The following is a 26906-nucleotide window of genomic DNA, read 5'->3' as shown; positions in this document are numbered from 1 at the left end:
AACATAATAGAACAGGATAAAAGCAAATTGAGTAAGTCAAGGAGAGGAAAGACAGACAGAGAGAGAGAGACAAATTAAAATAGACCTAGGTAAATTATCAGATAACCCTGATGGCTATATTGATGTTTTACAAGGGTTAGGACAATCCTTTGATCTGACATGGAAAAATATAATGTTACTGCTAGATCAGACACTAACCCCAAATGAGAAAAGTGCTGCCATAACTGCAACCTGAGAGTTTGGCGATCTCTGGTATCTCAGTCAGGTCAATGATAGGATGACAACAGAGGAAAGAACAATTCCCCACAGGCCAGCAGGCAGTTCCCAGTGTAGACCCTCACTGGGATGCAGAATCAGAACATGGAGATTGGTGCTGCAGACATTTACTAACTTGCGTGCTAGAAGGACTAAGGAAAACTAGGAAGAAGCCTATAAATTATTCAGTGTTGTCCACTATAACACAGGGAAAGAAAGAAAATCCTACCACGTTTCTGGAGAGACTAAGGGAGGCACTGAGGAAGCATAGCTCTCTGTCAACTGACTCTATTGAAGGCCAACTAATCTTAAAGGGTAAGTTTATTATTCAGTCAGTTGCAGACATTAGAAAAAATTCAAAAGTCCGCCTTAGGCCTGCAGCAAAACTTAGAAACCCTACTGAACTTGGCAACCTCAGTTTTTTTATAATAGAGATCAGAAAGAGCAGGCAGAAAGGGACAAACAAGTTAAGAAAAAGGTCACCGCTTTAGTCATGGCCCTCAGGTAAGCGGACTTTGAGGCTCTGGAACACCGAAAGGCTGGGCAAGTTGAATGCCTAATAGGGCTTGCTTCCAGTGCGGCCTACAAGGACACTTTAAAAAAGATTGTCCGAATAGAAATAAGCTACCCCCTCGTCCATGCCCCTTATGTCAAGGGAATCACTGGAAGGCCCACTGCCCCAGGGGATGAAGGATCTCTGAGTCAGAAGCCACTAACCAGATGATCCAGCAGCAGGACTGAGGGTGCCTGGGGTAAGCGCCAGCCCATGCCGTCACCCTCACAGAGCCCCGGGTATGCTTGACCATTGAGGGCCAGGAGGTTAACTGTCTCCTGGACACTGGTGTGGCCTTCTCAGTCTTACTCTCCCTGTCCCGGACAACTGTCCTCCAGATCTGTCATTATCTGAGGGGTCCTAAGACAGGCAGTCACTAAATACTTCTCCCAGCCACTAAGTTGTGACTGGGGAACTTTACTCTTTTCACATGGCTTTCTAATTATGCTTGAAAGCCCCACTCCTTTGTTAGGGAGAGACATTCTAGCAAAAGGAGGGGCCATTATACACTAGAATTAGGAGAAGGAAAAAGGGTAAATATATACACAGACTCTAGGCATGCTTACCTAGTCCTCCATGCCCACGCAGCAATATGGAGAGAAAGGGAATTCCTAACTTCCGAGGGAACACCTATCAAACATCAGGAAGCCTTTAGGAGATTACTACTGGCTGTACAGAAACCTCAAGAGGTGGCAGTCTTATGCTGCCAGGGTCATCAGAAAGGAAACGAAAGGGAAATAGAAGTGAACTGCCAAGCGGATATTGAAGCCAAAAGAGCCGCAAGGCAGGACCCTCCATTAGAAATGCTTACAGAAGGACCCCTAGTATGGGGTAATCCCCTCCGGGAAACCAAGCTGCAGTACTCGGCAGGAGAAACAGAATGGGGACCCTCATGAGGACAAGTTTCCTCCCCTCAGGATGGCTAGCCACTGAAGAAGGAAAAATACTTTTGCCTGCAGCTAACCAATGGAAATTACTTAAAACCCTTCACCAAACCTTTCATTTAGGCATTGATAGCACCCATCAGATGGCTAAATCATTATTTACTGGACCAGGCCTTTTAAAAACTATCAAGCAGATAGTCAGGGCCTGTGAAGTGTGCCAAAGAAATAATCCCCTGCACTGCAGGCCATACGTTTCAATCCCTGTATCTTTAACCTCCTTGTTAAGTTTGTCTCTTCCAGAATAGAAGGTGTAGAAGTATAAATGGTTCTTCAAATGGAGCCCCTGATGCATTTGAACTACTGCGGACCCCTAGACCGGCCTACTAGCCCATGCTCCAATGTTGATGAGATCGAAGGCACCCCTCCCAAGGAAATCTGAACTGCATGACCCCTACTATGCCCCCAATTCAGCAGGAAGCAGTTAAGAGCGGTCGTCGGCCAACCTCCCCAACAGCACTTGAGTTTTCCTGTTGAGAGCCGAGACTGAGAGACAAGACTAGCTGGATTTCCTAAGCCGACTAAGAATTCCTAAACCCAGCTGGGAAGGTGACCGCACCCACCTTTAAACACGGGGCTTGTAACTCAGCTCACACCCAACCAATCAGATAGTAAAGAGGGCTCACTAAAATACAAATTAGGCTAAAGCAGGAGGTAAAAAAAAAAAAAAAAGTCAAATCATATATCACCTGAGAGCATAGGGGGAGGGACAATGATTGGGATATAAACCCCAAGCATTCTTGCCGGGAGTGGCAACCCCCTTTGGGTCTCCTCCCATTGTATGGGCTCTGTTTTCACTCTTAAATCTTGCAATTGTGAGAAAAAAAAACAAAACAAAACAGTAGTTGGGTTTTTTTTGGTTTGTTTTACTTAAAATAATGATTAAAAAAAAAAATCAGCAGTAGCCCCTTCTACTTTAAGTGACAGGTAGTTGGGATTGCTATCTTTGCTTCCGGCAAACCCATGGAAAAAATGAACCCCATAAAGTTTGGGGGAAGAGAAGAAAGCATTAAAAGCAGGACCCAATCACAACAACAGAGGTTCTCAAACTTTCTGGGAGTATAAACATCACCTTGGGTACTTACTTTAAAAGCAGAGTCCTTGGATGCCACCCTAGACCCAGCCCATGATTACAATTTCTAGCACCCTCAGAAAATTCTGATGAGGGTCATCCACAGACCACATGTGGGTAAGCATTACCTTAAGACATGAGAAAAAGTTAAGAATAGAAGCCTCATCTGTTGAATAGCCACAAAGGAATACAAAGCTTTAATGTAAATTGTTTACAATTAAGTTGCTCTCACCCAAACCTTACCAAAATCAGGAGACTGGAATTGAGAGAGAGAAACGGAAAGGAAAAACTTTAAATTCACTTCACTATAGGAGAGGATGGCCCTGAGTAGAATTCCGCAAGAAAACAATGGGCAGCAAGAGGGCAAAGTGGCAGCACTCACCATGTGGGAGACAGGGGAAAGAGATAACAGGAAATGGAAATATGATTACATGACAGAGGAGGTGGCATAAATCTATACCCAAATCTTACAAAGGACTATCTGGAAGGAGAAATGAGGGCTATACAGAGATCATATTTTCTGATGCAAATTTTAGGAAGTTTGATCCGCTATGGAAATTTGCCTAGTTCATGTATGTTTATAAAAGTCTTAAAAAGTATAAAAATTAAAACAATTATTTATCAAATAACTTTCCTTTAGCACAAGAATATATTTATTCAAATTCCAATGTGTGGCCACCAAGGCCACATATCACACATAGAAGCAAGCAATGGTGAGCCATGACTACTAAGAGTCATGGAGAAGAGTTTCAAACCAGAAATAGCACAAGAATGACCAAACATCATGTGTGTGATACTGACAATCAGCCTAAAACACAGTACGAGAAACTGCTGATGTTCTACACTTTTTGGGTTCTTACCTTCCTTCCTAATGCATAAGGTGACATTTACTAGAAATTTGTTTTCTCGCCAGGCACAGTGGCTTGTGCCTATAATCCCAGCGACTCAGGAGACTGAGGTGGGAGAACCACCTGAGGCCAGGTGTTCAAGACCAGCCTGAGCAATACCTCAAGACTCTGCTCCAAATTTTTTAATAACCAGGCATGGTGGCACATACCTATAATCCCAGCTACTCAGGACAATGGTTCTTGAGCCCAGGAGTTCAAGGTTACAGTGAGCTATGATCACACCACTACACTCCAACCTGGGTAACAAAGCAAAACCCCACCTCTTTTTTTTAAAAAAAAAAAAAAAAAGGAAATTTGTTTTCTCTATTAAAATGTCATTATTGCCACTGAGTACCTCCTACTTCTTGCTGTGCTTCCATCTTCAGAAACCAATATAGTTTGAATATTTGTCCCTGCCCAAATATCATGTTAAATTGCAGTCCCCGGGGCTGGAGGTAGGGCCTGGTGGGAAGTGTTTGGGTCATGGGGGCAGATCCCTCAAGGTTTGGTGCTGTCTTTACAACAGTGGGTTCTCATGAGATCTGGTCATTTAGAAATGTGTGGCACTTCCCCCTCCCACACCCAACCTCAACTCTTGCTCCTGCTTTTGCTATGTGAAGTGCCTGCTCCCACTTCATCTTCTGCCATGATTGTAAGCTTCCTGAGGTCTTCCCAGAAGCTGATGCCAGAGTTATGTTTTCTGAACAGCCTGCAGAACCGTGAATTAATTAAACCTCTTTATAAATTATCCAGTCTCGGGTATTTCTTTATAGCAATGCAAAAATGGTCTAATATAGAAACTATTTTAGCACTCTATTCTTATTACTCCTTTCTATGTAGTTTACTGCAACAATGACAGTATTGCATAACACTATAAAGCTAAGGGCTTTACAATCATTACCTTATTTCCTTCTCACTTTAATCCTGTGATGTAGGTGTCATTACCCCTATTTAAAACATGAAAAAAATGGTCCAGAAAGATTCAGTAACTTGTCCCCAGTCACAGGAACAGTACATGATACAGCTAGGATTTAAACCATGACTGTCTGGCTCCAACACTCCTAACTAGGAAGCAAAGATTTCAGTATACTCAATGATGGCCACACAAGGAGTACAAATTATTACAAGAGCTCAGTGGTGTTCATCTCTAGCTGAAAGAACCCTTCATTGTGGAGGCATTTAAACTTTCCCTTCTTTGGAAGATGGTAAAATTTCAATAGTCAAACAGAGGAAGAAAGCACAAGGATTTTCCCATCTAATAAGCAGCATAAAATTGGCTGAAGCATAAAGCACATTCAAGAAGTCATAGAGAACAGCTGAAAGCCTTGAATGCCAAATAAGAGATTGTTATTACTTCAATAATCAATAGAGAACAATAGAATCAAAACAGTATTTTCCATGTTCATTGCTTCTACCAAAAGTCAAAATCTAGCAGTGTGTACTTTAAAACTTTGTTGATTCTCCAATGTGGATGAAATCCCAATTCTTAAACACAGCACCACTCTACATTTTCACCTTCTTTAACAGCTGTTCCCAGACACATTAAGTTATGACAATTCCTTATACACACCATGTCCTCTTATGTCTTCCTGTATATATCCCCTGTCTAAAATGCCCTTCTCTCCCTGGAGGCAACCAGTCTAAAAGTCACTTCTATAAAGCCTTTTCCTATCTTCTTCAAGAATTTATGGCTCTTTCTTCTGCATACAATGACTACAGCTACATCATATCTTTTATATATCTATATATCTCCACTGACTGTCAATCATTTTTGCAATGTTAGAATGTAGCACAGCACAAGCAGGCAGCAAGTACTGACACTTTCTCTGAACAAAGATTGGTCTGGTAATAGAATGAAGAATCATTTAAAGGCGGGAAACAAAAGAAAGGGAGACCAGGCTAGAAGTGAGACAATTAAGATTTCATCTAGGCTGGTGGCAATGAGAGAAAAGCAAAGTGTCTTGAGAGTCGATAATAGAGTCCATCTGACTTGGAGTCCATCTGATTTGTCAATGAACCAAATAAGGGATGGGGGATGGAGCTCAGCAAGAACTCATGACTCAGGTGTTGTTGGACTTGGGCATCTAAATAATGGCGGAAGTGAAGAGAAACAGTGGAGGACTGAGATTGGAGACTAAAATAATGACCTTACACATGAATGCTGAGTTGGAGAAACCAGCAAGATACTCAGATAGAAATACCCAATAATTAAAAATGTAAAAATGAGAGTTGAGAGTTAGAGATAATAACTTAAAGTTCCCCCAACAGTGGTAAAAGCTATTACAGTTCAAGTAGATGAAATGATTAAGGAAGAAAATGCAGAAGAAATGACTAAAAATTAATCTTAGGGATTTTTAAGCTTAGGAAGAGAAGGAAGTCAGCAAAACCATGGTCAGAAAGACAGGAAGGTGGGAAAAAAAAAAAAAAACAACAGAATAGTGCAATAACATGGAAGCTAAGAAGAGATAAGAACATCTACCAGGTACCAGAATTGGTTAAGAGGCTAAAAGTTTTATAATTAGGTTATTCATGGCTGTTAAGGCCTTTTCAAAAGAGTGATACGTGTGGAAAATTTCAAAACGTTATCTGAGCATGCTTTTAAGCAGCAGGAAAAATCAACAAAGAGAAAAAGATTGATGACTCAAGGAAAATCAATAGAATAATTCATGGAGCAGGATTATAGAGAAGGAATCATCAAAAACAATGAGCAGATAATCTGGTTGTATCATCTTTAAATGCATGATAACCAGAGTTGGTTCAGCTCATTTAGCTGCCTGGGCAGCTACCTATGTCCTATGACTACCACCACTTCCTTCCAGGCAATAACTGATTGCAGCAATGTAAACATGTAACCCAGGACTGGAAACAAGGGGTTCAATTATTCTGTGCTATTGGCTGAATTCCTGAAGGAGTGGGGCAGCCATATTTTACCATTTGGACAGAAGAGCAGAAAAAGCTGATCCACTTAGAGAAGCCTGCAGCAAATAGTAGCAAGAAGTGATACTAGTAAGAAACCTGATGGCTTTCTGGTTCTTGGCTCTAATTCCATCCTGAGGCCAAGCTCCATTCTTACCCTTGGGTTCTTTGGCACCCCTGTACTCTTAGAATAAATTTCCCTTTTCTGCTTTAACCTAGCTCAGATTAATACTTATAACAAATATCCCTCATTAGTATACATACCAAAATATGATAATTTTTTTAAGTTACCAATTGTATAAAATCTGAGTGCAGGCATGGCAAACTAGAATGTACTTTCTGAAAATAATGGCAGATGGCAGGTATGAACTTGGAAATAAAATCAAAATTAGAATAGTAGTCTAATAGTTGTAAAGCCAGAAATAATTTGTGAAGGCAAAACAAATACTATCTGGAAATCAAAGCCAACTGATATAAAAGAAAAAAGCAGAACCTTTCTGAAGGAGATTTAACTTCAAAAATGAAACTACCAATTTACTTTAAAATGCATCAAAACAAAATAGATTAATATTAGGTGGAAAAAAGAATGGATTAATGGATATGTGATAAGCACAGTAACATGTTAACAGTAGAATCTAGGTGGATGGTACACTAATGAGTATTGTGAAGTTCAATTCTGCAACATGTTTAAATACATGCAAAATGTTGGGGTGGGGGGCGGCAGGGAATGAAAACTGCTGACACCATAATCCTTAAATTACATCACTCCATGTAACAAGATTTGCCTGAACAGTAAATAGGAGCCATCTGAATAAGCACGGAATGTACATTATTTACTGATAGCAATAAGTGGTTTAAACTGATACATCTAGGCCAGTCGTCTTAGCTCTCCCTCCTTCTCATTACCCCCATAGACCCAGGCAGGGTTAAGCACTATTCCTTAGGCTCCCTGTGGTCATGTTTTGGTTTCCCCTTTAAAGACTCAGGCTAGAACATCTAATTTCCTTTTATCTAAATTTCTGGAAAGCTGCTTCCCTAAATTAGAAGATACAAACTTGCTCAAATATGATGTAGTCGTTCTCCAAAGATTCCGATGATTTTCAATTTTTTATTACTTGTCAGAATTAAGTCCAAACAAGCAATCGTTCCTTATTTCTGTCCACGCCCAATGAGATCAGCGAATGATGTATTCCAATGCTCTTTGACTCATTAAGGCCCTTTTTTAAAAATGTGCCTTAAGGAAATTATTAAGGATTTAATTGTAAAAAGCTTACCACAGCATTCTCTATAATAGGGAAACACTGGAAACAAATATAACACCGTCCTCATCAGATAAATGGTACCTACATATAATACAATACTTCCTGAGTCACTGAAAATGATTTTACACATTATTATTTCTTGATAAGGAAAGGTATACACAAGACAGTGAGTGAAAAATGGCAATTTCAAGACATTATTATGGCGTGACCTCACACACATATGCTTATGTCTGAAAGGATCTAAGCCAATGTGCTATAGCGGTTATCTCTTAATGTTAGTCTTCATTTTGATTATTATTTTCTATTTTTTTCTGCAACAAAATGCATAACATTTTAGAATGCCAAAATTATTTTCCCTTTTCTTTATGATTGTAAAGTAACTGCCAGACATTCAGCTCCTAGCAGAATGACACTTCTAAACACTATCCAGATTGCTGAAAGACCATCATTACTAGAGCAAACTGCCACACCAGTTTTATAAACTTTATTACATTGCCCAGATTTTCCTACCCTAATTCTTCTGATTCTGTTCTCATCCAAATGCTCTCTCTCATCAATATTTTCACCCTCAGATTTAAGAATTTTTGCATAACATCTTGACATAGAACAATACTCTTCCAATCCTTCTAGACTAGGTTTCTTTGATATAAAATTGCCCTTCCATTGTTGTAGTAGTCACCATTCCTTTCCTATACCTTACATCTTGCAGTAATAGAAGACACATCAGTCTTCCTTAGTAGACCTACATGTCCCAGTAGGCAAAAACCATGTGTCAATAATCCTCCCCAGTGCTTAGCATATGGAAGACACAAAGTAATTGCAAACCTGGGTAGATGAAGTTTCTTTTTTTCTTTTTTCTCCTTTTTTGAGACAGAGTCTTGCTCTGTCACCCAGGCTGGAGTGCAGTGGCATGATCTCGGCTCACTGCAACCTCCACCTCCCAGGTTCGAGTGACTCTCCTGCCTCAGCCTCCAGAGTAGCTGGGACTACAGGCGTGCACCACCACGCCTGGCTAATTTTTGTATTTTTAGTAGATACAGGGTTTCACCATGTTAGTCAGGCCGGTCTTGAACTCCTAACCTCAGGTAATCCACCCGCCTCAGCCTCCCAAAGTGCTGGGATTACAGGCGTGAGCCACCGCGGCCAGCCAGTAGACGAAGTTTCAAATGGGTGAGGTGGCTGAAGAGTACCTAGGTGATTTAAATGAATTCAAGGCTCTAGACCTACATATTATATCCTATGACACTTAGCACTTAACCGTATGTTTTAAAGTTACTCTTCATAACCTGAGAAATCGTGGGGAAAAGGTAACAGGAGATAGATCAATGCTTCCCCAGTTCTCAAAAGTAAAAAGAAAAGATCCCCAAAACAAGAGACTCTGAAACATGGGATCAATCAACAAGCAAAGGTCTTCCAGACAATGGCACAATAAAAGGTGTAAAAGCTGAAAAATGTGGCATGAATAAGAGACTCTGCCTAGAACAGTAGAAGAGCTAGGTAAATCAGAAGCTGAAGTTTAAAAGCTACATATTTTAAACAGCGGTTAGAGGTGAGGGGATATGAATTGAGTCCAGCTGCACCAGTCTCCTTGTGGCTTTCCTGATATGCCACATGTGCATTTCCTCTTAGGATATTTGCACATACTATTCCTCTGCCTAGAACACTCATTTGCCTGGATATCCATATGACTAAACTCATCTCCTTTAAATATCTGCTCAAATGTCATGTTTTCATTGACATCCTTCTTAAAATTTGAACCCTACCTCCTTACCCTCTCTACTTTTTCTTTTTTCTACAGTACTTATCACCTTCTAACATACTTAATAATTTACTTATTTACTATGTTTAATTTTCCATTTCACCCACTGGAATGTAAGTTCCAAGAAAATAAAAATCTTTCTCCATTTTGTTCACTGACATAGCCCAAGTGCTTAGAACATAAGTAACCAATAAATACTTGTTTAATGCACAAAATGAATGTGAAAGATTGTGAAGGAAAAAATGAACAGGGCTGGGTGATATCAATATAATATCAAGGAAAAAGCTCTAGAATTGAGATGTTTTAAAAATCTGGAATCAGCCGGGCACGGTGGCTCACACCTGTAATCCCAGTACTTTGGGAGGCCAAGGCGGACAGATCACCTGAGGTCAGGAGTTTGAGACTAGCATGGTCCAACAGGGTGAAACCCCATCTCTACTAAAAATACAAAAATTAGCCAGGCGTGGTGCTGTGCACCTGTAATCCCAGCTACATGAGAGGCTGAAGCAGGAGAATCACTTGAACTTGGGAGGTGGAGGCTGCAGTGAGCCGAGATCGTGCCACTGCACACCAGCCTGGGCAACAGAGCGAGACTCTGTCGCAAAAAAAAAAAAAAATTAAAATTAAAAAATCTAGATTCAAATTTAAGCTTTACCACTCAGTAGCTAGAAACTGACTAATATATTTTTCTGGCAAGTATCTAGGAATTTCAGTTCCTAATCTGTGAAATGGGCAGTTGTGAGGATCAGATGACACAAACATGTATGAGAGCAGCAGAGTGACTGCAGAATTAATTATTAATTTGAATAAATTCAAAAGAAAGTTCGATCTTAAAAGAATGAAAAGAAGTTCAAGATAGGGATTGAAGGATGTGACTGTGGGACTAGTGTTAACACTATGAGATATGAGAAAGCCCAGATAAATAAGTTCTAGAGAATGAGAAAGAAGATAATGAGTTAGGTTTCCACCTACACCTGTACTGGCCAGCACGGTATATCACTAGCCACATGTGCCTATTTAAATTAAAATTAAACAAAATTTAAAAGTCAGCTCCATAGTGGCTATGATACTGGATAACACAGATTACAGAATATTTCTATCACAGAAAGCTCTACTGGATAGTGTCGACCTACAAAATTTGAGTTGACAGCAAAATATCCACTCCATAGTATATGTGACTAAAGTGATAAGAGAATTCAAGTAGGTGTCATTTTAATATTCCTTAGGCTGGATTCCTATACAGTTAGTTCAAGCACCTTTAGAAAAAATGTAAAACCCAACTAGGTAATCAATCTGAGTTGGAAATGCGAACTTCTGTGATTATAGCAAATTAAATAGTTCACATTACTTGATTCTAAGGTCCTGGGATACCTGAGCATTCCCCTGCTTATAGGATGAGGTCTCTGACACAGCAACTATAAATAGAATTTGGAGAGTCCCACTGAGGTCAACAACAAGAATCTGGTCAGCAACCTGGCCAAATCTCTGATTAGTAATTTCAAACATGCTGGCAAGAACAAATGTTATATGCAATCATATAACAGTTTTCTTAGTGAATGACAAGACGATATCTACCCCTCCGAATCTCACCCAGGAGGCAAAACTCTCTCATCAAAAGTAACTGCAGTTACTGGAATAGTAGCAGTTTTTTTCAATGAGTAAGCGTATTTCAACTACTGAAAGATCCAGAATTAAATATACAAATGCTTAAGAGAACCAAAGACAGATGTTAATGTTTTTAAGAAAACTATACAAAAAATTGATATTTTATATATTTACAAAACTTAAGAGAATCTAGTCTTTAAGAATGACTGACTTGTAACTCAAATTTAAAATGTGTAATTGAGTAATAGAGTTGGACTTATGATTTTAAGCTGAAATCTTATAAGCTCGTAAATAATATGTGAACACTGCAAGGTCACTTTGTTTAAAAATCCAATTTAATTTATTTATAAAAATGATTTAGTACCTGGGAGCATTCTGTTTATTACCTCAAACAATTGATGTACTTAAGAAAAGTAAATATATTAATTCTTAAACACTATTTTAATTACTTTAACCTCTTCCTATGCAGTAATATCTATAAAAACACTAGTTTGATATGCACTTTATATTAAAACAAGTAATTATTCGGACCAAAAGTAACCACCACCTAAATGTTCATCAATAACAGAATGGATAAATTGTGGTATATATCTACCCAATGGAATACTATTCATCGATGAGGATAAACAAAATGTGACTAGATGCAACATGGAGGAATATCACAAACATAATACTCTGAAGGAAAGAAGCCAAACACAAAAAAGTACACACTGTATGATTCCATTTACATGAAGTTCAAACAGGCAAATCTATATGTTAGAAGTCAAGGTAGTGGTTATCCTGGTGGAAGGAGCCACTGGGATGAGCACAAAGAGGGCTTCCTAGAGTACTGGTAATGCTGTTTCTTAATCTAAATACAGATAAAATAGATGTGTTCATTCTGCAAAAGTTAATTATGCTGTAAGTTCTCTCTCTACTGTTTTGGTAGCATGTGTTAGGCTCTACACCTGCAGAGGAGGCCTTCTGTGGTACACTGCCTGTGATGGAGTGTAATTCAGGGTAAATATTAGGTAGTACAGATCTAAGCCACGATCTCCAACCAGCATTATCAGTAAAAAAGCTAATGTTTTTACCTCTCTGTCTGTATCCTGTGTCTTATCTCTCAGTTGATTCTGAGCCCAGATGTTGGGACAAGGATATGACAAAATATCACCCCCAAGACCCAACAAATAAAGAGAACACTAATAGGCAGAGAGCTATTAATACTTTATGCTACAACGGTAGACTCTAGTCATGATCCCTTGATTTGGTTTAGGGTTGAAATTAACATACTAATCGGAATAACAGCAGAAGTTATCTTCTCAATAATAAGGAAATAAAATCAAACGGAGTAATATTTGCTTAGCACTTGCTTTTAAAGTGTTCCATAAAGTATCTCATCTGACTACAACAGCAATCCATTTCTCTGCAGCCTAAAAACAGATCACTTAATTCATTCTCAGGTATTTTTATTAAATGACCACAAGGGTAGATGGCTCTATAGTAACTTCCCAACATAAAAAAGTCTATGTAGAGAAGGTCTGGTCCATCTTAAAATGCAATCTAGAGAAGCATATTAACAAATAACCACAGCGATTAAATCTTCAGTTTCCTGTTCATTCACAGTCCAAAGACAGTTTGCAACTAGGCAGTAAACCCTCCATGACCTATTCTCTTTTCCTCCTTTCTTCTCTGATCTTGGGTCTTCCACATTCTTCCTAATTCCCTTTCATTCCAAACACTGTCTTCTTCCACAAGTCAAATGGCAAAATGCACTCACAAAAGTAAACTGGCTGGTCTACCTTTTTAAACCACCCATTACATTTTCTTATTATGAATTTCATTTTGACAGAATGATGTTTTATAATTTATTAAGTACAACATAAACTAATGCCTTCTTAACTATATGACAAAGTATTTGATCATGATCTATTTAATCACAAAAACTTTGAAACTTAGCATGACAAAGACAGCAACTTGATGAATAGTAAGTAGATATCTCCCCGGGAACATCAGATGTGGTAATCCAGCATAGAGGAAAGAATATGGACTCTGGAGCAAGAACAGAGTTGAAATGCCATCTCTTTCATTTCACAAATGCAAGGCCTTAGATAAATTAACTTCTCTAAGCCTCTAGTTCCTCAACTGTAATGTACATATAGTATCACTCATTTTTCAGAGCTGTTGTGTGAGATTTAAATGACATAATGTACATAAGCTTTAGCATGGTTCCTGTCATATTAGGACTTAGTCAATTAAAACTCCTATTACTACTATCACTAGAATTCCTAGCTAGGAACTCAAAATAGGGTAAATATTTCATTCAACATAACTACCAAAATAAGCTCGAATTTTGCCAAACGATGTTAAGTTTTAAGCCAGGTCACTTGTGCAAATAACCTTTGCTCTGTATCAGCTCTTACAGGCTTCAGGATACCCTCTTGGGAAATATTTACAAGAGGTTAACTCAGCTGTATTCCTTCTGGAAAATATCTACCAAAGCTTCCGGCAGATGTTAAATAATACTTTTTTGTTTTGTTTTGTTTTTTGAGACACAGTCTCGCCCTGTCGTCCAGCCTGGAGTACAATGACGCAATCTCAGCTCACTGCAACCTCTGCCTCCCAGGCTCAAAGCAATCCTCCCGCCTCAGCCTCCCCAGTAGCTGAAACCACAGGCCTGTGCCACCACACCAGGCTAACTTTCTTTGTATTTTTGTAGAGATGGGGTCTCACCATCTTACCCAGGCTGGTCTTGAATTCCTGGGCTCAAGTGATTTGCCTGCCTTGGCCTCCCAAAGTGCTGGGATTATGGGGTGTGAGTCACCATGCCCGACGTTAATATACTGCTTTTTATTAAAATGGCATTTGTAAGTGACATTATAAGCAAGTAGACTAAACAATTAGTGGCGTTCTTAATCATTCTTTTGACCTGAACATTTATAACCTCCGTAAAAACTGCCATTGAGCAGTTCTGACTAATGCAAACCACAATGAGGTTGGAGCCAAAGTTATAACTGGGAAAGAGGTTAGCAGTGTGGAAGAATGAAAGTTAACATGGTATTTTTTCTTCTCTTTTTCGTAAGACCACAAGAGCCTTAAAAAAAAAAAAAACTGAAAAAAATCCAAAACCAAGACGTAAAAGTGTCACATATGTAATTGACATTTACTATGATTTTTAAGGATCTAAAATTGCACTTAGAAGCAAAGTCAAAAGAAAAACTGTACATGGGTAACATGCACTTAAGGAAAAAGGGAGGATCCAAGAGTAAACTGTCACTTCAATACTCTGCTCAGCAACTTCAAATAATGAGAACATATGTTCCGGGATAGAAGTAATTGGAGCCGGCCAGACGTGGTGGCTCATGCCTGTAATCCTAGCACTTTGAGAGTCTGAGGTGGGTGGATCACTAGGTCAGGGGTTCGAGACCAGCCTGGCCAAGATGGTGAAACCCCATCTCTACTAAAAATACAAAACTTAGCTGGGCACAGTGGCAGGCTCTGTAATCCCAGCTACTCCGGAGGCTGAGGCAGGAGAATCGCTTGAACCCGGGAGGCAGGAAGTTGCAGTGAGCTGAGATCGCGCCACTTCACTCTAGCCTGGGAGACAGAGCAAGACTCCATAGCAAAAAAAAAAAAAAGAAAAGAAAAAGAAGTAATTGGTGCCAACTTCATAGGAGACCATGTGATAAGTAAACAGCAGGTTTTGTTTGGTCAGCCCTCTGAAATGTCCACATTCCTCTGGACTGTGTCATCCCTTTTCTATTGTCATTCAGTCTCCAAACTCCTGTGGCATTAATTTAGTTACATAGTTTTAAAGTGTGATTAAACTTTAATGGTGTCACCTAATGAACTTCTAAAACTCTCACACACATCATTTCCTCCCTATTCTCATTGCCATCATCTTAGTTTAATTCTTCATTATTTCTCGCCTATTGTGTTACAACAGCCTCCTCTAACTGATCTCCTCTAACTGATCTATGTCCATCCTTACCGTTCTCCAATCCATTCTTAACACTGTAGCTGGAGTGACTTCTCTCAAACCCAAACCCAATCTGATCATGTCTCTTCCCAGCTTAATTCCTTCAAGGGTTCTCTATCACCAAGCCCCTTCAGCTGCTTCATTTTTCTTTATATTTATCACTACCTGACATACTATATTAGTTGTTTGTTCACTGTCTCCACTCCAGCTAGAATATAAGTTCCATAGGGCAGAGTTTTTGTTCACTGCTATATTTTATAAGCATGAATGAATGCATGAACGAATGGACTGATAACCCACAAGCCAAAGACCTCCATGACCTGCCACTGCCCTCCTTTCATTTTATTCTCACCTCTACCAATACTAAATCACCTAGTTATGTAAATACGATATGCACTTTCATGGCCCCTTGCTTTGTCATATGCTGTTCCCTTTGCCTGGAATATAAACTCTCAAAATACCATCCACATTTTAAAATCTTCTCCAGAAAGCTTCCTCTGACCACCCCCACCCTCCCACCCCCATATAGAGTAAGTCAGTCTTTCCTTTGTGCTACATTTGTACCTGTATCTACAGTGGCTCTAATCAAACTGCACTGTGTCTCTCACTTCCTAGATTGTGAACTCTTTGAGGCTGAAGACTACTTATTCATCTCTTTACCTCCAATGCCTAGGACAGGACCTTCATAAAGCAACTACTCTATAAATGTTGAAACATATGCATGACTATTCTGTAACAGGAATGAAAATATGGCATTTCAAGAAGTCACTACTCCAGGCCATGTGATATAACCAACCATGTGATAAAACAACCATGTGATAAAACAATTACAAGCAATGTTATCATCCAAAGTAATAAAAGGGAAGGAATAATACACAAATCACAAAATTATTCCAAAATAATTGACATATAGGCATACTCACACCTTATTAGATATATACTGTGGTTCCTTCTTCCTCTATCATTTATCTTCCCTTTAGGCTGGATTCTGTAGCTGGCAACTGCAGGCCCAGCTAAGTAGGAAGTAGAAGGGAGACTTGGGTTCCTCATGATTATCTATCAAGTATATCACCCTCTGTGGAAGCTTTTGATGTGTCATCTAATACAAGTTTCTGTGTTCCCTCATATTTTGATGAAAATCTCAAAGTACCAGTACAGGACTAGATTTTACCACTAGTCGTCTAACCCCGAACCAAAGACCAGGGCTTCCCACCAGCTGTAACCTATGCAACAAATGGGTTACAGTCGTGCCTGAACTATCGATGCCTTCAGTCCTTGGAGCAGCCACACAGGGCATCCCTGACCAGTCACCTTCAACCATCATCTTGGTGTGCCTTACAAACGTTACTATTTTTTCTCTGAATGCTGTAAACCAAGCCATTAAATCTAACCATAAGGAAAACCTGCCCTCCTTACTTGGTTCTAAGAGTGTGAATCTACATAAAATGTACAATCACATATATGCATACAAATGAGAACACATAAATGTACATGAAACCATTTAGAAAATTTTAAACCTAATGACAGCTATTAATAATATAACCTCAATTGAAGCCAGGAGACGAGATGAAATCCTTTATTCCTCCCCTCCCCACCACTCAGTAACCAAGTTATGGAAAATTTACCTCCTAGCATTTTCTCAATTAAGTTGCCTACTCCCAATAATATGCCTTAGTTCAGAATCCCAGCATTTCTCCCTGGAATAATAGTCTCCTAGTCTCTCTGCCTTTAGACACTGTGAAAATTGCAGCTACCATTCTTTGAAAGGTTATGTAACAGGCATTGCACTAAACACTTGATCATTTAACTCTATTTTTTTCAATTCTCACAGCAACACTGCAAAACAGGATTACTGTTCCCGTTTTTACAAATGACGGTGACTGAAACTCTCAGAGGTTAAGTGATTTGCCCAAGATCATAGAGCTGTAACGGTGTAGTGGAAATTGAAATCCAGGTCTATGTTCCCAGCCATTATACTGCCAAAATGCTCAACTGTCTTCAATTTGCTCCCAGTGTGACCTTTATCAAAGGTAAATCTAATCATGTATTGCCCCACGTAAAATCCTGTAAACAAGATTCACCTCTCCAGTCTTCGTCCCCTGTCATTCTCACCCTCTCCTACTACACTTGAGTCTCAGCAGTTCCCTAATTTGTCTCTCACTTCTTTACCTGTGAACATACTGTTTGTATGCCAAGAACAATTTCCCCCTTTGGCAAACTATTAGTAATGCAAACATCCAAAATTTACTCAGACAATCTTTACTTTGGAACATCTTTGCACTAACAAACACAAACCCAAAACTGGGTTAAATGACCAGGTGGTATAGTTCCCAGTTAAGTTTCTTATAACGCTGTATTATAATTTTACCTACTAAGCTATTCCTTCCTTAAGAGTAAATACCGTATTTTTAAATTTCTGTATTGCTGGTACAGTGTGTATTTTGTAAAGACTCATGTATGTTGAATTAATTCATCAGAAGCAAGTATAGCTTAGGAACTTGGCCATGAAGTCAATTTGATGTGCTTTCAAATTCTAACCTGTCACACAGCATATCTGCTAAGACTCCAGCAGACTTAATTTATTCATCTGTAAAATGGGAGAAAACCGCACATACCTCATAGCTTGGGAAGAAACAAAGGATTTAGCACACTTTGGCACACTTAAAAGTACACTTTAAACATTAGCTACTTATTTTTTTCACTCTCGGTTTATCCATTTATCCACGGTGACAAAGCCACACGTCAGAAAGTAGCTTCTCCTAATAGCCTTCATCAGAGATTGAGGAGATCGAGACCATCCTGGCTAACACGGTGAAACCCTGTCTCTACTAAAAATACAAAAAAAAAAAAAAAGATTTCTCCAAAAACATCGAAAGTCAAGATCTCTTACAAACATCCCTCATCGGTTAGACTCTTGTCTTTTAGCTTCTGGTTACACAGAGCTCAGTAGCTATACCACCACACCTTAAACCACTAGCTAGTGTTTGCAGTTTATGGCTTCTTACCATTCATCGGTTTCCTCCCTCAAAGTCAATACATCTTGATCCTAAGCAAGTGGAACTTACCCCACAGAAACCAGTCAGCACCTTTTTCCAGGGCACCACCAGTTTCCCCCACAGCAGGCTTTCGCGAATGAGAGAGATTCCTATGATCTATCATCTAGTACAAATTTATATCTCCTCGGAGAAAAATAGAACCTCTGCTACCCATTCCAAGACCTCAGCACCAAAAGTATTAATTCAAGATAAAAAATGAATTCCTGGCACTAAAAGCTCAGGAAAAAGGAATCCTTTAAACCCTTCTCCAACGAGAGTTCTTCAAGCCTGTTACCCTCACATAGTGACCAAAATCCACCATCCCATCCCGCCCCCTTCCTGACAGAATCCAGGGTCTAGTCCACTCTCTCGAAAGAGAGGTGGGTCCCTACTTTCAGGGACCGGGATGCCTTCCGCCCACCCGTGTCACTTCCCTTCCCACCTCGCCTGTGCCCTCCTGCAGCACAGGCCCGGCCTGGTCCCTCGACGCTAACTCCTTCCACATACCGCTACTCACCGCTTCTTTGGGATGGTGCCCGACTCCTGCGCGGCGGGAGTGGCCGTGGGCGCTGCCGTGGCCGCCGACGCGGCTCTCCGCGCTTTGCACTCATTGGTACTCAGAGCCTCCCGGGGCCGGCCCAGCAGATGGCCAGAGAGAACCCGCAGCCTCCGCCCGGCGCGGTCCGGGTCCGGGTCCCGGTCCCGGTCCGCTGCAGACCCGTAGCTCGCGCCCGCGCCCAAGCCAGTCCCACCCGCTGCAGCCGCCGCCTCCGCCATGGCTACCGCCTTGTGCTGCCGCCCGGAACCGCTGGGCGCGGGTGAAAGGTCACTCAGAGCGGCGCCCGGCGCGACCATTCGCTGCGGCGCATCCCGGCAGCCACCGCGGCGACTTGGCGGCGGGTGCCATGCGTCTGGAGCTTCACATTCTCTGCCCCCCACCCACCGCGCCGGCGCTCCCTTGTCACGCCTCGGGAAGCGCGCACCTGCCAAGCAGGTGAGTTCGAGCTGACTCCCGGTTGGCCCAGCCCGGTCCAGCTGGACCGAGAGCCAAACCACGTCCGCCCTCGAGGTGTCCTAGAACCCTGGGTGGTGTCCTCGGGTGTGGCCTGGGGGCTTTCGAGGGCAGATGCCTTGGAGCAGGAGAAATGGGCAGTGCTACTGGACCTGATGGATCCAGCGGCATCCTTTTCCTGAAAGAGATTCTAATGTTCCACCTGTGCTCTTCCTCCCTGCGGGGTCACCAAAGTAACTCAAAGCTGACCATCATTGCCTCTAACCATTAGAGCAAATAGCTCTATCATTTTCTTATTTCTCACCACCTATTTCGTGCCTGGCACTGTGTTTAATGCTAGATCACAAGTAAGTACAGAAACTGAGTTGCAACTTAAGTTCTCATTTCATTCATTACTGGATCCTAACCCCTTCCTAACTTTAATAGAGATAAAGTTTCTTATTGCTACAGACAAAAATTACCCAAGAGCTGTGAAGACATCTCAGTTATTTACAGATTGAATTCATTTCTGGAAGATAGCACGTGAAAAGTGCTCCTCACCTGTTTCAGCCGGTGTCTTGCATAAGAATTAGCTTAGACAAAAACTCACATACACTGGCCATTGTCATTCTCCATCCTGTCACCACTTTCACATCATGCTTTCCTAACAAGAAAAATATTGGCAGAGGAATCTGAAGAACACCACATCCATGGGACTAGAGACTAACAATTGCTCTCTTGGGTGTTGCCAGCTTCTAAAATTGAGATTATGCCTTTAGAGTGAACTTCCAAAGAGGCCCAGACTGGTTAAAAACTCTCAATTAAGGGCTAAGCAAATTGCTGTTGGAGGGCCAGCTCTAGTCTGTGGCCTGTTTTTACACAGCCCTCATGCTAATGGTTTTTGTATTTGAGAAGGGTTGTTAAAAGAAAACAAGAAATTTTTTAAAAGAATATGCAACAGAGACCTTATGTGGTCCCAGAAGCCCCAAAATATGTATTACCTGGCCTTTACAGGAGGTCCGAATGTCTTCTGAAATTTATATACGAAGAGATACCAAACCATTGAAAACAGTCCAAATGTCTAGCAACAGAGAAATGGTTAGTCAATATGTTAAAATACTTTTGCAGCTATTAAAATAATTTAGTACAGTTGTAGAAACAAGAAAGAATTAGGAATTTGTTAAATATAAAAAATGGCCATAACCTAGGCATCTTATACGTATCTATTTAATCAATCTTTGCAGTAACACAATGACACAGTTTTATTATCCTTATTTTATAGATGAAGGCTCAAGGAGAGTAAGAAGCTTTTCTTAAATAGCTATATTTTATCTCAAATATCATATACTTCATGTTATTGTCCTTATTCCACCATTAGAGTTTGGGGCCATTAACATTTTACGTTAAAATTACTTACGTAGGCTTGGGGTTTTTGTTTTTTATTTTATAGATTCTAAAATTGAACTTTCTAAAATAAATTTTCACTTTAATTATAAACTATACTCCTGGTTCTTAAGGATTGAGTTCTGGGAAGAATTTCAGAGATTGCCACCACAGCTATCACGACCTCATTCATGAGGTGCAAGAACATGAAACACATATAGCACTTTCCTAGGTATTTATGACTGAAAAAAGAGAATCTTTAGTTGATCTTGTAAAATTAAATATCAAAGCCTGCAAGCCACTAGTTTCTGGCTTTTGCATACTTTGTTGCCTACCCTCACAACAAAGAAGTTGCACCTGATTGACATTTTCAGTATTCAACTGATGACCAGAAAAGTGGCTATATGCTCCTACATGTTTGATAACAGAAGAAAAATCCTAGCTTCCTTTCCTTTACTTGATTTTGTTGTCAATTAGAGGAATTGTCTCTTATTTTAAAATTTTAAAACCCACTTTGCCTTCCAGTGTCATGTACATAATTCTAATGGTGTTCTTTTTGTCTTGCACAATCTGAAGAAAGTCACACTCATCTCCTCTGACCTGATAAAGCAGTCTCCAAAACAGATAGATGGAGGTGGCTCAATCCAATAATTAATGAGCCAAGAATTATTCCTGTATACTATCCCCTCAGTTCATCTAGGCATTACCTCCATTTCCTCATGTTTTACTTCCTCCTGTATCTTTAGAATCCAATCTCAGATGTCACTGATGAAGTTGTTGCAGAGAAATATGATAACAGCTGTCTAGACCTATCAGTTATTGAATTGAGATGTCCTGTAGCCTTTGATACAGTAGGTCATTTTTTGTTTTTGCAAGAATGTAATCCCGTGATTCTCCATGTGCTTCCTTGAATGGGGTAGAAACTGAGCTCATTTTCCCCTCCCTTTTATGCTTCCCTATAGTCCACCAAAGTGCCACTGTCATCCTGTTCCATCAACCTCAGGGTTATTTTCAGCCTTTTCCTCTTTTGCTTTTTATATTAAGTACATCAACAGTACATTATCCTCTGTGTCTCTTAAATCTATTCTTTCCCTGAGAATTTATCCTCTTGCTTATCATTTATCATATACTGCCTTTATATGTTAATTAACTTTTCATTTACTCATGTCTGTTACTCCCAGTAGGCCATAAACTCCATGAAGACAGAGTTCATATCCCACATAAGAATCTGAGACTTATACTTAATTTATAAGTGACTCGTCACTTTGAATCTGGGGAGAGACACTGAGCCACAGTCCCCATAGGAACTGTTTTCCTCTTTTCGCCCATGTGAAAATGCCTAGCTAATGGAGGTTCCAGTGAGCCGAGACTGTGCCACTGCACTCCATCCTGGGCAACAGAGTGAGACCTTGTCAAAAAAAAAAAAAAAAAAAAAAAATGCAAAGAAAAGGGAAAGAAAGAAGGAAGGAAGGAAGGGAAAATGCCTAGCTAATATTTAATGTAGAAAGTTACCTCATAGAAGAGCACTTTCCAAGATGATGGGAATGTTCTGTATCTGTACTGTCACTGCTAGTTATATGTGACTATGAGCACTTGAAATGTGGCTAGGATAACTGAGAAACTGAATTTTTAATTTTAATTAATTAATTTAAACTTAAATGGCCTTATGTGGATCATGGTGACTATATTTGATAGCACAGTTGTAGAGTTTAAGTTACTGGTGCCTGGAGATATCAACCTTACTTTTCCCATACTACTGTTATAACCCACACTGGGGTATGGAGAAGAAAAATATGCGAGAAGTATTTGTCCCTTGCATACTGACCTAGGGCTGTAAATGTATTTTTGTCAGAAAAAAAAATGCTATAAATGATTAGGTGTGGTCAAAATAATACCATTTCCAGTACATTATGGATTAGATAGGCTTTTACAAGCCATCTTGCAGATCCAACCATCAGAAATAAGTTTATTTCTATGTAATGTGCAAGTCAAAGGTAAGTTTTGGGAATGGTAAGAAAAAGGGTTTCTGTAAGGTTTCCAAGCCTATGCAGTTACCTCCTTTCTGATTCACCACCTCCTTTGTAACACAGGCTCTGTAAAAAAGTTAAGACATTCTAAGAGTTGTTTGACTAATGTAAAATAACTATTTAATGGTTCTGAGAAAAGGCAGACAATGAGGAGGACTTGATTTTTGTGCTAGATCTCCAGATCTTAAGCGATTGTTCGAGCACTATCCAGTCAAGCTCGGAAGGATCTGTTAATTTTTGCCTGACTCCCTGGAGTGCTCAATCTGACACTACTAAAATACTTTAAATGTAAATGTAGTTAACTGCTTCCTTGTCCAAATTAAGTTATAGATATGCTTCTTGCCAACTCTCAGAAGGCAAAAATTTATAAATTTTGCAGATATTAACAGAGTAACAAAAAGCTTTCTTCTGGGTGATGAAAAGCTTAATGTAAACCAAAATTATGTACCAGTAGGAAAACTACTGATTGTATATATTTTAAATATGTGTACAATAATGAAAACATATAGACGGTAAAAGCATTTGTTGAAAGCCTATCATGTACCTAATTCACTACTAGGTGCTATGAGATGCAAAAGTGTTTAAGCCAATGCCTCATTTACATGGTATAATCAGGCTAGTTAGAAGTCAGTCCGTAAGTGGGAAAAAAATTATGTAATACTATTAGTGGGAATAAGGATGAAGGTGACCTTGATGAAGAGTTTCCTACCACCTCTCCATACAAAAGTAGAACCCAAGCAGGATACCCTGAATTCATGCTACCAGAGGAACAGATATTTCATATGAAGCCAAGTCCATCGAGATTCTTGTGATTTCCACAAAAATTAAAACCTCAGTGAATATCACTTTTAGGTGGGCCATCTCAACAAACCTGTCCTTTCTGAGTCCTGGGACACTTGGCTCTTAATTGAGAACAGACCACATGCACAGAAACAAGCAGTGAATGTATGACCTGTAATTTTCAATGGAGTGGATTTATTTGCATTCATGACATCTTCTAACTTGAGGCACAAAAAAAAGTCTAAATAGGATAGATTAACTCCTGGAATCATGCACCAAATTTCTTTATTGCTCTGATTTTCATTACTTGTCTTCTGAGCTTCTGAGTGATCCCTAAATATAGGAATTCTTGGATTTTTATACCCTTTTTTGTGAAATATAACACAGAGAAAAGTGAACCAAAGCATAAATTATCACAAATCAAGCACCTTTAATCTACCATCTAGGTCAGGAAATAGAACATTACAGAATCCAGAAGTCCCCCTTATGCTCTCTCCCAATCACTTTATGCACTCTCCCTGCCACCAAAGGTAACCATTGTCCTAGATGTATGATAAGCACTTCCTTGTTTGTTTTTTATGGTTTTATCAACTAAGCATATATCTTTTACCTGCTCCTGTTTTTTGCATTTATATAAATAGAAGATTATGATATGTTCTTTTGTGTCTGGTTTCTTTCATTCAACATTATCTTTATGAGTTTTAATAACGTTGTAGTTGTGCATTTATTTTATTTGCTGTATAGTATTCTATTAAATCCATATATCAGAGTTTATCTTTTCGACAATTAATAGACATGGACATTCGAAGTGTTTCCAGTTTCATACTACTATGGATAGGCGTTACTATGCACATTGTTGTAGATGTCTCTAGGTGTACAGGCATGTGAATTTCTGTTGAGTATCCATCTAAGAGTGGAATTCCTAGGTCAGAAAGTGTACATATGTTTAACTGTGCTTAACTGTAATAGATAATGAAACACCAATCTATTTTCCAAAGGGATTTTACAAAATTTGCTGCCCTAGCAGTATATGAAAGTTCCCATTGCTCTAATATGTGTTATTGTCAATCTAGTTAGTTTCAGTCACTCTGGTAGATGTGTACTATTATCTTATTGTGGTTTTAATTTGCAGTTCCCTGATTACTAATGAGATCAAGCACCTTTTTATGTGTTTGTTGACTATTTGGATGTCGTTATTTGTGAAACTCCTGTTCAAGGCTCTTATTCATCTTTCAGTTGGTTACCTGTCATCGTCTTATTGATTTGTAAGAATTATTTATATATTTCAGATATGAGCCTTTTTCAGATAGATGTATTGCAAATTTCTAATTTCATTATGTGATTTGCCTTTTTATTTGCCTAATAGTGATATTTGAAGAGCAATAGATCTAACTTTCATTGTGACCAAATTTACCAACCTTTTCCTTTATTTGACATTTTTTGTGTTCTGTTTAAGATATCTTTTTCTGCTTTGAGGTAGTGAAGGTAATTCTCCTGTATTATCTTCTAGAAGCCTTATTTTTATAAGGCTTTTTTGACTTTCATATCTATATCGATTTGCCTTTCATATTTATATCTATAGTTCACCTGGAATTGATTTTGGTGTTTATGGAGTAGAGGTCAAGTTTTTTTTTTTTCCCCCACATTGGTATGGGGGGTTGTCTCAGCACCACTTGTTGAAAAGCTCTTGTTTGACATTGCCACCTCTGTCATAGATCGAGTGTCCATATAAGCACTGATGTATTGCTGGGCTCTCTATTCTGTTCCATTGGTTTATCTATCAACTTTGTATCAGTATCACACTATCTTAACTATTATATATTCTTCTAGATCTTTTACATAGAATTATATCATTTGTGAATAATGACAGTTGATTTCTTCCATTTCAATTGTTATATCTTGTGCTTTTTCTTGCCTTACCCAGCTGGCTAGGACCTCCAGTACAATGTTGAATAGAAGTTTAGATGATGGCAACCTTATAATGTTCCTGATTTCCAAGGGAAATCTCTCCACATTTTGCCATTGTTTGAAGTAGGGTTCTGATGTTTTGCTTTTTTAATAAACCTTTTAGCAGATTAAGGAACTCCACTTTTGATCATAGTTTGCCAACAGTTTTTATCATGAATGGATATTGAATTTTAGCAAATGTTTTTTCTTGCCGGGCATGGTGGCTCACGCTCGTAATCCCAGCACTTTGGGAGGCGGAGGCAGGCAGATAACTTGAGGCCAGGAGTTCAAGACCAGCCTTGCCAATATGGCGAAACCCCATCTCTACTAAAAATACAAAAATTAGCCAGGCTTGGTGGCACACACCTATAATCCCAGCTACTCAGGAGGCTGAGGCAGGAGAATCACTTGAACCCAGGAGGCGGAGGTTGCAGTGAGCTAAGATTGTGCTATTATTGCACTCCAGACTGGGTGACAGAGCAAGACTCTGTCTTAAAAAAAAAAGCATGGGCTGGTGGCAGGGGTGGCTTCTGTATCTGTTGAGATAATCATATGATTTTTCTCTTTTACTCTGTTAGTAAGGTAAATTATAAGGATTGGCCTTCTACTGTTAAGGAAACCTTGTAATCCTGGCATAAACCCAACCTGGTCATGAGATATTGACCTTTTTATATATTACTAAATACAGTATATTAAAATGTTGTTTAGGGATTTTTGTATTTATATTTAAAAGTATATTTATATTTAAAAGTAATTTAAAAGAAATTTTTCTTTCTGTAATATTCATGTCAGGTTTTGCTGACCTCATGAAACAAGCTAATGAGTACTCCTTTGTTTTCTAGTGTCAAGAAGAGTTTGTATAAGATTGATCATTATTTCTTCCTTAAATGTCTGGTAGAATTCACCAAAGAAACAATCTGAACCTAGAGTTTTCTTTATGGGAAGGTTTTTATTCATAGATTAAATAACATAATGCTATTTGGATTTTCTATTTATACTTGTTTGTTGTTTCTTTACTTTTTTTTTTTTTTTTTTTGAGACAAGGTCACTCTGTCGCCGGAGGGCAGTGGCATGATCATAGGTCACTGTAACCTGGAACTCCTGGGTTCAGGCAATCTTCCCACTTCAGCTTCCTGAGTAGCTAGAATTACAGGTGTGTGCTACCATTCTGGCAGTTTTTTTTTTTTAGAGACTATATCTCTATGGGGTATAAATTTCTCTCTAAGCAACACACTTTATTCCTTCAAGTTTTAATAACTGTATTTTCACTATTATTCACTTATAAATAATTCACTTTTGTATTTAAAAAGAATAAGTATTCTTTCTTGTTTGGGAGTATAGAGTTCCATATAATGCCTGTTCAAATTTGCTGATTATATTGTTTAAATCTTTTAAATCAAAGGTATTTTATCTACTTATTCTATTAGTTATTGATAGTATGTTGAAATATTCCACTGTTATAGATTTATTCATTTTTCCTTGTAGGTCTGCTAATTTTTATTTTCTCTATTTTGAAGCTATGTATTAGATATATC

General features: G+C 39.1%; 1 protein-coding gene and 1 long non-coding RNA gene across 5 annotated transcripts in view, besides 5 other annotated features; one reads left to right on the top strand and one right to left on the bottom strand.

Annotated features, from left to right (window-relative positions):
• The window catches only part of AGPS (alkylglycerone phosphate synthase), a 151062-nt gene extending 132025 nt beyond the window's left edge, over nt 1–19037 (bottom strand). For 2 of the 4 annotated variants that reach the window (NM_003659.4, XM_047446105.1), the window contains exon 1: nt 18761–19037. In NM_003659.4, coding sequence (NP_003650.1) covers nt 18761–19020 — 260 coding nt within the window. In that variant the 5' untranslated portion in view covers nt 19021–19037. The other 2 variants (XM_011512041.3, XM_047446104.1) reach the window with 2 other exon arrangements.
• Nucleotides 611–776: a silencer, noted in NCBI's record as "fragment chr2:178275762-178275927 (GRCh37/hg19 assembly coordinates)". NCBI's record gives its function as "represses an EF-1alpha promoter that drives an FKBP-Casp9 reporter gene in an ReSE screen in K562 erythroleukemia cells {active_cell/tissue: K562}" and the evidence as "EXISTENCE:reporter gene assay evidence [ECO:0000049][PMID:32094911]".
• Nucleotides 14788–15288: an enhancer, noted in NCBI's record as "H3K4me1 hESC enhancer chr2:178261250-178261750 (GRCh37/hg19 assembly coordinates)". NCBI's record gives its function as "activates a minimal SCP1, AML or CMV promoter by ChIP-STARR-seq in naive H9 embryonic stem cells {active_cell/tissue: H9 hESC(naive)}" and the evidence as "EXISTENCE:reporter gene assay evidence [ECO:0000049][PMID:30033119]".
• Nucleotides 14855–15149: a silencer, noted in NCBI's record as "tiled region #14377; K562 Repressive non-DNase unmatched - State 14:Gen5'". NCBI's record gives its function as "represses a minimal TATA promoter and a strong SV40 promoter by Sharpr-MPRA in K562 cells {active_cell/tissue: K562}" and the evidence as "EXISTENCE:reporter gene assay evidence [ECO:0000049][PMID:27701403]".
• Nucleotides 17315–17609: a silencer, noted in NCBI's record as "tiled region #2066; HepG2 Repressive DNase matched - State 2:TssF". NCBI's record gives its function as "represses a minimal TATA promoter and a strong SV40 promoter by Sharpr-MPRA in HepG2 cells {active_cell/tissue: HepG2}" and the evidence as "EXISTENCE:reporter gene assay evidence [ECO:0000049][PMID:27701403]".
• Nucleotides 18818–19037: a silencer, noted in NCBI's record as "silent region_12147". NCBI's record gives its function as "represses an Ori minimal core promoter by ATAC-STARR-seq in GM12878 lymphoblastoid cells {active_cell/tissue: GM12878}" and the evidence as "EXISTENCE:reporter gene assay evidence [ECO:0000049][PMID:35858748]".
• LOC100130691 (Putative uncharacterized protein FLJ44553) overlaps nt 19119–26906 on the top strand; it is a 109184-nt gene continuing 101396 nt past the window's right edge. The window contains exon 1 of the long non-coding RNA NR_026966.1: nt 19119–19237. This is a non-coding gene — a long non-coding RNA (Putative uncharacterized protein FLJ44553). The remainder of the gene's footprint in view (nt 19238–26906) is intronic.

This window comes from Homo sapiens, chromosome 2, assembly GCF_000001405.40.
Source record: "Homo sapiens chromosome 2, GRCh38.p14 Primary Assembly".
Taxonomy (NCBI): domain Eukaryota; kingdom Metazoa; phylum Chordata; class Mammalia; order Primates; family Hominidae; genus Homo; species Homo sapiens.
The sequence above is the reverse complement of the archived record's forward strand: the minus strand, read 5'-3'. Positions and strand labels throughout refer to the sequence as shown.